The sequence below is a fragment of the Homo sapiens genome, chromosome 2 (assembly GCF_000001405.40).
Source record: "Homo sapiens chromosome 2, GRCh38.p14 Primary Assembly".
In the NCBI taxonomy this organism is placed as follows: domain Eukaryota; kingdom Metazoa; phylum Chordata; class Mammalia; order Primates; family Hominidae; genus Homo; species Homo sapiens.
Genome location: NC_000002.12, coordinates 139,017,848 through 139,029,121, shown reverse-complemented (window position 1 = coordinate 139,029,121; position 11,274 = coordinate 139,017,848). Strand labels below are relative to the sequence as shown.

Here is an 11,274-nt window from a genome sequence, read left to right as displayed (position 1 = left end):
GACACTATTATGAACAACTAGAGTTGACCTTTGTACAATGTGAGCATTAGAGAGAACTGACACTCTGCATAGTTGAAAATCTACATATAAATTTTAACTCCCCCCAAAATTAACTAGTAATAGCCTATGGTTTACTAGAAGCCTTATTGATAAGATAAACAGGCTATTAACACAAATTTTGTGTATTACATTTATTGTATACAGTATTCTTACAATAATGTAATCTAGGAGAAAATGTTGTTAAGAAAATCATAAGGAAGAGAAAATATATCTACTATTTTTTTAATGGAATGGGTCATCATAAAGGTCTCCATCTTTGCCATCTTCACATTGAATAGGCTGAGGGGGAGGGTTTTTCTTGCTGTTTCTGGGGTGGCAGAGGTGGAAGAAAATCTGCATATAAGTGGATCTGCACAGATCAAATCCATGTTGTTCAAGAGTAAACTGTATATGCCAACAAGTCATAAAACCTAGCAAAAATGGAAAAATTCTTGAACATATACAACCTATCAAGATTTAACTCAAGAAGACAAAACCCGAACAGAACAATTTTATGTAATGAGATAGAGTGAGTAATGAAAAGTTTCCCAACAAGAAAAGCCCAAGACCAGATGCCTTCACTGCTGTATTCTATCAAACATTTAAAATACTAAAAAAATACTAATACAAATTCCTTCCAACTTCCCAAAATATTGAAGAGAAATAAATTCCTACAAACTCATTCTACAAAATCATCATTGTCTTGATACAAAATCATCATTGTCTTGTGGGACTGTAAACTAGTTCAACCATTGTGGAAGTCAGTGTGGCGATTCCTCAGGGATCTAGAACTAGAAATACCATTTGACCCAGCCATCCCATTACTGGGTATATACCCAAAGGACTATAAATCATGCTGCTATAAAGACACATGCACACGTATGTTTATTGCGGCACTATTCACAATAGCAAAGACTTGGAACCAACCCAAATGTCCAACAATGATAGACTGGATTAAGAAAATGTGGCATATACACCATGGAATACTATGCAGCCATAAAAAATGATGAGTTCATATCCTTTGTAGGGACATGGATGAAATTGGAAACCATCATTCTCAGTAAACTATCGCAAGAACAAAAAACCAAACACCGCATATTCTCACTCATAGGTGGGAATTGAACAATGAGATCACATGGACACAGGAAGGGGAATATCACACTCTGGGACTGTTGTGGGGTCGGGGGAGGGGGGAGGGATAGCATTGGGAGATATACCTAATGCTAGATGACACATTAGTGGGTGCAGCGCACCAGCATGGCACATGTATACATATGTAACTAACCTGCACAATGTGCACATGTACCCTAAAACTTAGAGTATAATAAAAAAATAAATAAATAAATAAATAAAAAATAAAAATAAAATACTAATACAAATTCCTTCCAACTTCCCAAAATATTGAAGAGAAATAAATTCCTACAAACTCATTCTACAAAATCATCATTGTCTTGATACCAAAATCAGACAAAGACACAATAAAAAAAAAAACTATATGCCAATATCTCTAATAAACATAGATGTAAAAATCCTCAACAAAATACTAGCCTCCCAATTCCAGGAGCACATTAAAAAGATCATTGATTATGATCAAGTGGGATTTATTGAAGAAATTTGAGAATGATTCAACATATGTAAATCAATAAATATGATATACCACATCAAGAGAATGAAGTACAAAAACCATATGATCATCTCAATAGACACAGAAAAAGCATTTTATAAAATTCAACATGACTTTATTATAAAAATTCTTGGTAAACAAGGTATAGAATGTATCTCAATACAATGCACACAATGGAATATTATTTAGCAATATAAAAGAATGAAATTCTGTCATTCACAACAATATGGATGGGATTGGAAAGCATTATGTTAAGTGAAATAAACCAGGAAAAGAAAGATAAATACCAGATATTCTCACTCATATGTGGAAATTACAAAAATCTATCTCATAGAGGTGAAGAGTAGAATAATGGCTACTAGAGACTGGGAAGGGTAGAATAAAGGAGAGGATAACTAGAGATTGGTCAATGGATACAAAAGTGCAGCTAGCTATGAGGAATAAGTTGTGGTGTTTTATAGCTCTCTAGGGTGACTATAATAAACAACAATCTATTTTATATTTTCAAGTAGCTAGAAGAGTGAATTTTGAATGTTTTCGACACACAGAAATGGCAACTGTTTGAGGTGATAGATACGTTTGAGGTGATAAATATGTTAATCACCCTGATTTGCTCATTATACATTGTATACATGTATCAAAATATCATACTGTACTCCATAAATATGTACAATTATTATGTGTCAATTTAAAATAATAATGTTTTTAAATGTGACAAAATATTACTATAAATAGTGATAATGTATGAATATATTTTAGGGTTTTATTTTAAAAAATAATCTTAGATCATTTAAAGTTTCACAAAAAAAGTCTTATGAGGCATCATCTGCAGTAGTGAAAACAGCCAATAGAGTATAAATTTTAATTACTAGTCCAGTGGTACAATAATATTAATAACCCACTGTGTGGTAAAATATTTAAGACATAATGGTAAGAAAATAAGAAGGCTGCAATATTAAATGCATACTCTAACTCAAATGTCTATAATAAATGCAAATACATTTTGTATATGTATAATAAAAAATTAGAAGTTAGTTACAATATTTACAATGTTTATCACCAAGTTAGGATTAAGATTGATTAACCAAAATGGGGAGGCTCTATTCCATACTGAGAGTGCAAAGACTATGGAAGCAGATGCACAAGCTTTGCATACCAGTCCTGCTACTTTAGAGAAGTTACTTAATATTTCCGAATATTAATTTTTTCAAATTTTTTTAAAGCACACGCACATTTGGTGGAGTTTTAGAGCATCTATCAATTAAAATATGTAAAAGAATGCAGTCTAATTTTTATGACATGAAAGGAGCTAAATAAACATTAGATCTTTTACATTCTTTATAAATTTTTATATTTTCCAAGTTTTCTACCATTGAGTTTGTAATTTCATTTTGGAATTAGGAATTTTTCTGAATGCTGATTATTCTATTTCTAACTGCTGTCCTGTTGTGCCTGACCTAAGACAAGCAAATCTTCTGTATCCTGACTCCACTATATTAGTGAACAGCTCAGGGAGGAGAGAAAAAATAATATAAGTCAATTATATGATTGCTTTTATGTTTGCTAAATCTATTAACTCTCTGGAAATACATATTTTTAAAACTTTACTTGTAAACATCTGCACTGTATGCCTGGAAGAAGGAATTTTTTAAACTCTATTTTATTTCCCAGCATATAACATAAATCCAGAACCAAGATATTCATAAAAATCCATGAAATTAAATGGGTCTGCAGATATAAAATGCCAAGCATTCATAGCAGATAATGGGAAATATTTCAAAGGTGAGGATATTTCTGGTACAGTACATTTTAAACCAAGCAGGAAGCCAATTAGTCAACTGTATCAGTCAGGATCCAGTCAGAAGACAGAAACCATACAGTAACTTAATCATGGGAAGTTTGATATAAAAATTACTAACTTTGAAAGGAGATTGGCATAATGAAGGACTTCCTAAAAATGAGAAATAGTATTGAAAATACAAGAATAGTAGAATAGTAGATATAAAGAGAACATCAATGAAGGAGTATCCCACCACCTCACCCCTCAATACCACAGGGCTTGAGATAAAGATGGTAAAGTTTGCTAAGGTGCAGCACCTTCAGAACTTGCTAGAAATTCACCTTCTGAAATGCCAGGGGAAGTGCTCTACAGGGAAATGTTGCAACCCAGAACTTGCTGCAAAGGTGTTCAAGGGTGTGATAAGGAAACTGCTTACTCCTTGATACTGATGGTCAGAGTGAGCAGCAGCACTCAGGTCCTGGAGAAGCCACCTGTATAACAGGTGCCTGATGCTGTGGAATCTACCCACAATTCAAGAGCCCAGTGATGGATGTGTGATGCATACAGTAAGAGCCTGCCACAAGAAGCACATTGGAACTTCTTTCTGCTCCTATCTCCCTCCAGTGCCGTCTACTGATTTGCTCTTTCATAGCAGCTGGCAAAATAAAAGCATTTGCAAGGCTCACCTCTATTATCACAGAGTAAGTAATGAAGGTGGGTTTGGAACTGAGAGATAAATTGGTATCTGGCAATTTTCACATTTTCTGTTACTCAGCTTCCACATTCACCTTTATACACACATTTATACTTTATAATAACAAAATATCTTTATACCTTCCCCTAAAAAGATAAGGCTATTCTTTTTACAAGTGAAGTTCTCATCTGTTCCCCAAAATAACAAGAGGCAGAGTCCCAACAGTCATTATATCCATCACTGGCTTTAATGAGTACTACTCAAATCCCACCACATTTCCATGGTATATTCTATTACCTAAAGGCCAAAGGTTAAAGTTAACTTCTAACAAGTTGCGTAAAAAATAAAAATAAGAAAGAGGTTAGAGAAAAAGAAAATTGTTAGCACATGCCAATAAACACATGCATATAACCAGCAAAAAGAAAAAATACAAAGTTACCACATTTGTCATCTCTGTAACTGGTCACAAGAACATAACTAATACATACTACTTTATTCTTCTACTATTCATTTCATACTTCCCCTGCCCTCAGCCAGAATGTCAGTTGGTCAGGATTCTTTGCCTGTTGGAGTAATGCAAATCTTTTTTCTTGAAAGGTCTGAGTTAGCAATCATGCTATTATTTGTTGTTGTTTCAATAGTTTTCCAATAACCTTCACTATTGAGCATGGAATTAATAAGAAATACACTAGAGGATTTGCTGGGTTTCAAATTTAGTCCTGCTTATCCTCATTACGCAGCAACAAATCAATTTCCCTTTGGTAATTGGGAGAAATCACTCCATTGAGTAGAATAACCTTTTTTTCTGCCTGTTAGTTCAATGGCATAAAGAGACCACGCTAACCAGGTAGCAGTTTCATCTTCCAATTCAATGGAACCAATATTGTGTCCCATAGTTGAAGCATGTTCACCCTGGAGACTAAGAGTTCCAAATCGGCAGAGTCCAAAGCTGCTAGAACAGAAAGCAAGAATTGCAAGTGTATTATTGAGTATAATAATGAGAAAACTCTCTCTCATTTTCATCCTTTGATTCCCAGATTCATGTCTTGTATATGGCAGAAATAGCATCATATAATGACCTTTGCTTCAATATATATACTTTATCTTGTATGTCAGAACCTCATCCTTTCAAGGTATTGTCTCTCAGTTGGCTCTGGAACTGAGTCTTCAGCAAGCCATTTCATATTTCTATTTACTCTGTAACTTCTAGTTGATGGGGTATTTAGAATGACTGGTTGATTCCATAGGTATGAGCCATTGCTGTACTTCCTTTACATTGAAATTAGTTCTTTGATCAAAAGAAATGCTATATAAAGTGGCATGAGATTGGGTAAGTGGTTCTCTGGGTTTATGGATTATAGTGCTCTCAAAAGCTCTGATCTCCTCCATGATGGTTTCCTAATGTGATCAACCTACCACAAGATGGTTAGATGGTCCCCCTGAATAATGGTGTCATATTGAGAACTGAGTATTTCTACTTGTTGTCTACAGGCTAGGAACTCAGCAGTTACATTAACCAGGTCATACCTGTAAGAGAAATTCCATGTTGTTAAGCCATGTATAGTCTATTCCTACCACCCTGATGACTTTGCTCATGAGCCCGTTGACCAAGAAATGGGGAATGTGGTAAAAAGAGATTGATTGACATCCACAGAATGTGTCATTCTGTCCACCTAATTATTAACGTCTTCCACAGCAATGGGTAAACTTTGATCAGCATTCACATGGGTCACAAATATCTTCACAATCTGTGCCCATACTGAGAAACACCCATCTTTTCCCCAGACTTCCTTGTTGCCACTCACACAATTCTGTTTCTGTCGTGTCCTTAACCATCCATACAAACTATTAGCAATTACCTGGAAAGTAATGAAAATTATTCCTCTCACTGAGAAGAATTTCCTTTGCTCTTATCCTTAAGGGAGCACCCCTAAATGGATCTGTAGTATTGCAGCTATCCACCTTTGAGTGGTACAAGCATATGCAAATTACTCATAACTTTCAGACCCACTTAAGTTCAGTTTCTTATGAACCATTTAACTGTTATAATATATATTGCTGAGCATGCCCAAACTTATAGCCAAGTGTGTCAGACTGTAACCGGCCCATGAAGGAAAGCTCAGGCCACATGATCACCTGATGTCCCTTTGTTAGAACTTCAGTCTCCACCAACCCCCAAAGCAAGCCAGTACTCTTACTCAAAATAGCTTCAGGAGAAAGCATCAATTTCTTCCAAAATCCTAGAGCTCTGGGTTGTGATTCTTTTCTTTGTGCTTCCCAGGGACTCCATGCAGGATCTCCACTTGCCACAAATATTTTAAACAATTGGTTTATACTGGACCTGCTAGATCAGGAAGGACAAGGGGTAGTGTAGCCCTTATTACAGCTTGAAATTGCTGCAGAGATTTAGGGCCACCTCTAGCTGAATGAGAAAACACAAAATCTGAAATCTCTAGAAAGTTTAGCCATATCACTTAATTTGGCCTAATCTAGTGATATAATCCACGACATTTTTTAATTTAACACAATTAGATATATTTCTACACATTTTCCACAGATTTCTCCCAAAATATTTTAGTAACATTTTGTGATTTTATGGCAATAAACTATTTGTCCAAGGTCATAATGACCTGTCTCCTTAGAATACACTGATATTTTATTCTAGTTATGAAATAGCAACTACAAGGGATGGTTGTAGGTCTTAAGAAGAATGAGTTTCCTCCTTCAAGGCATCTTACCCAAGTTATCTCTCACAGGGTTTCCAAATTAAGTAAAACTGTTTTTTCAAGTACCAGAGTGAAAATTAAGTCCATTGGAAAGAGTATTGAAAAGTGATTTAGGGGTCAAGATTCCCTATTTCATCTGGATCCAACCAGATTTCCCCACTCCAACCAGATCTCCCAACCAAGATCCAAATCCTTCCCCATCAGTGTCCTAGCTTTCACATGAAAAAACTTGACAAGACAGTGAATTCAATTGTTATTGTAATTCATCAACATGCTAACATATAGTTAAATTTTGTGTTTGATTTTCAGAAATAACTATGACTACAAAAAAATTTCAAATTCATTTTAGCACTTTCATGGAAATGCTCTAGTGTTTGAAACTGTTACTTCAGCTTAAAGTTAAGGGACTTAACTTTGTTATTTCATTTCTGTAAGCACTGAAGGACACTAAAAAGGATCCATGTTACACCATAATCCTTATAGATATCATTACTGCCATATGGTCATAACTGGCACTTTAGAAAATAACAAAAGTATTTTAGCATCTTTATCTTCTCCTGATAAGTAAAAGCTTCCCTGGCAAACCTCAAAGAATTCCTTCAAAGTCAACTCTTGATTTAGTATAAATTTTATATTTTGATAAGGTCTAAATCAACTTAGGATGATCAGGATGCCCTTGGTGTTTTCATATAGATTTAATACTACTTGGGCTCGTTGGTTATAATTTTATAACAATCTTTATTCCATTTTCAAATCGTGAGTTTTATAGAACTTGCATAACAATTGTTGTTGTTTTATTTGTACTGGAAAAGCACAGAGTCCTGCAAGATACTGTGTGTATACCGAACTTTGGGAAAATATTTTTCCCAAAGAATAAATAGAAAAGAAAATTATTTAAGAGTCTTCCTGATCTTGGGAATATTTCATCACTTGGTGAATGTGTATATGCTGCTCTCTATCAAAATGTCCTTCATTCTACTCCCATTTTTCTTCTTGATCCCTCCATTTTTCCGCCTCTTTCTTGTTAATTATATAAAAGTCATCTTTCTTGGTGTGACATCACTGAAAATGACGGAGTGGGGAAATCCAAAACTGTTTCTCTCCACTCATGCAATAATTAAGCTAGCAAAAAAACTATCAGAATCAAAATTTTTAAGACTCTGAAACCCTATAAAAAATGTAATATGACCAAGGGAATGACCAATGAAGATAGAAGCTGGTGAAATTTTGTGAGAAAGTATTTGGCATTTGAACTTATCTACCTACCATCACTTGTTTCCCAGCTTAGTGGTGACAACAAGTGGCAGCCTGCCTTCCTGGTGCAGATTGTTGGTGCCACAGTAGCAATATCTATCTTATTTTCAAAGAACTGTGATTGTCTAGTTTTACCTGTCTGGTGGATCTCTAAGAGATCATCTCAGAAACCCGCCTTTGTTTCACCCACCTCAGAGTTTTCCCAGAGCTGAATGTTACTCCTGGGCAGTGTTTGTTGAAAGACTCAAAAAGCAAATAAACTAGCCACAGACACCTGAAGCAAGGGATAGCAGTTAGAGCAAGCAATAGACATATGAAAATGTATGGTAAGAAAAAGCCTGGGGAAAGAGATACAATGGGAATAATATCTTCCAAAAAATCTTGCATATATTATTGAGGAAACTAGAAGACCATACACATTCCCAGAACAAGACATATACCCAGAAAAGATGCAAGAAGACACTAATCTTTCACCTGTGACTGACAATAAGGCCCCATGTAAGCAGGAAGTGAAACCTAAGGCAGAGTGCTAAACAGCTTGAATAAGCACTAAAGGAGTGTCCAACGCAGAGACAAACTTCAAGGACCAGGAGAGATGGTGGTAGTGGTTGTTATTGTTGTTGTTTTGACTACAAGCATTTAAGGATGTTAAATTTAAGCCTGATGGTAATTAAAAAGAAAATATCTATAGAAAGCACACAAAAGGAGATGAAGGAAAATCAGAATAGTTTACTACAAAAAAAAATTAGTTAAACACAAAAGAAGGCAGTAATGGAGGGGGACAAAAAAAGCTGTAAGACAAAAAACAAATGGCAAAGTCCTTTTTTATAAGTAATTTGCAAAATGGCAAAAGACCTTCCTTATAAATAATTACTTTAAATGTAAATGGATTATACTCTCCACTGGAAAGGCATAGATTGGCAGAATAGATTAAAAATAAATGATTCAATGTGTTGATCATGAGATTCACTTTAGATATAAAGATAAAGAGAGGTTGATTGAAAGTGAAATAATATAAAAGATAGTCCATGTAAATAGCAAACAAGAGTACTGGAACACCTATGTTAATATCTGACAAAATAGATGTTAAGTTAAAAACTCCTACAGGGGACAAAAATATTGACATTGATAAAAGGGTCAAATGGTAAAGATAATATAACAATTATAAGCATGTTAAGATTTTTGGCAAAAGGACCAATCCAAGCAGAAGACATAGCAAGTGTAAACATACATGTACCTAACAACAGAACTCAAAAATACACTAAGAAAATCATGACAATTGAAGGAGGAAATAAACAACTCTATGGTAAGCATTGGATACTCTCATACAGCATTTTCAGTAATGCACAGAATAACTACTCAGAAGGTCAACAAGAAAATAGAGAACATGAACAACATGATTAACCAATTACGAACAGACATGCTAACAGACACACTCACAGACTAACATACACAACACTCCACCCAACAGTAAGAGAATATATATTCTTTTCAAATTCACATGAAACATTTTTGAGGATATGTAGACTCATATATTTGTCTACAAAACAAGTGTCAATAAACCTTAGAAAATTAAAATCATACCAATTATCCTCTCCAACCATAATGTTAAGAAGCTAGAAATCAATAACAAAAAAACAAGAAAGTTCACAAATCTATGGAAATTAAAAAAGGTACTTTGAAACAACCAAAAAGTCAAAGAAAAATTCACAAAGGAAAATAAAAGTACTAGAGATTAATGAAAATGAAAATACAATATACCAAAGCTTTTTGAATGTAGTGAAGGCAGTGCTCAGAGAAAAATTTTTAGTTGCAATGCTTTCATTAAAAAGAAAAATCTTGGGGGAGGCTGGATAAGATGGCTGACTAGACACAGCCAGGTGAAAAGCTGCCACTGAGGGACCAAGATGACTGGTGTACTCCTAACAGATCTTCAGAGGGAAGGCACTGAGAGTGGACAGAGGAAAGACACAGCAGATAGGTTGAAGGAGAAGGAAGCTGGGAACTCTGCATGGGGTTATCACATACTGGAATTTGTTCCTGGACTCCAATGGCTCTGGAGGAACAGGTGAGTTGAACTGGCAAGAAGCAACTTGCTGCCACCATGGGCCTCTGGAATCCCAATAGGAAGAGACCTCTCGACCACCACAGACACTCAAGTTGGCAGGGAGAGCTTCTTAGAGAAAGGGTAGAAGCAGCATATCAGCTGATGTGAAGCCCAGAGGGTTTGATGTGGGAGCCTCTATACTGGATCATGGCCAGGGATGCCCATCCCCCTAGGCTTGACTTGCTCCCATAGGAGACTCTGGCCCTAGGGGAACTGTCAGACCTGAAATCTGCAGGGTGGTCTTGCCCATCAGATGGGGTTGATCTGACCTGAGCACCTCTTGCTCTGCTGGACTCTCCCAGCACCCCAGTCTGGCCACATCTGTGTGCAGGGCAGCCTCAGGTGCCCACATCACATCTCCTGCATTTGTGGACTGGGCCTGACTGGCAGAGAGCTCCAATGGGGCAGCCCCCATGGCCATGCAACAGCCCTCTCACTCCCTGCCCACCACTGCAGCTTCTCCCTAGCCCACGGCCACCCCTAACATCGCTTTGTTGGTGCATATGTGTATGAGTGGGTTTTTCCTTCCCTGCCCTGCCAGTGAGCATGTGTGCATCCCCCCTGACCCCTGCCACTGCTGCAGCATGAGTGCACTCTGCCCCCTGCCCCCATACCACCATTGCAGTTGGAGCCTTGGCATGTACAGAGCCAGCCAGCTCCCACCCCCACCAGCACCCCTTCCCTGAAACAACACTGCTGCAGGAGTGAAACTAGGCACAGAGAACAGCAGACCTTCCCCCACCCTGAGTGACCACCCCTGCTTGCAGCACACCGAGAGCTCACACAGACCTAGACACCCACCAGCCTCTCATCTTTGCCCCCATGCTAACACCACCACCAACACAACTCCATGCACAGTCACCAGTAGGACCCCAAACTCCCCCAACCCCACCATATGGTGTGCTGCCTCTGCCACTGTTGTGAATGTCCACATGGTGACAGGAACACCAGCATGTGCTAGCACCCTACCACAACTAATAAGTGTGCACCCTGCCATGCTGCCACTGCCACTGCTGCTGGCACATGATAAGGAGCCCAGATCCCACTGCC

The 11,274-nt window shown here is 37.0% G+C and overlaps 1 annotated feature.

The window, feature by feature from the left end:
• Window positions 10,271–10,771: an enhancer, noted in NCBI's record as "H3K4me1 hESC enhancer chr2:139775921-139776421 (GRCh37/hg19 assembly coordinates)". NCBI's record gives its function as "activates a minimal SCP1, AML or CMV promoter by ChIP-STARR-seq in naive H9 embryonic stem cells {active_cell/tissue: H9 hESC(naive)}" and the evidence as "EXISTENCE:reporter gene assay evidence [ECO:0000049][PMID:30033119]".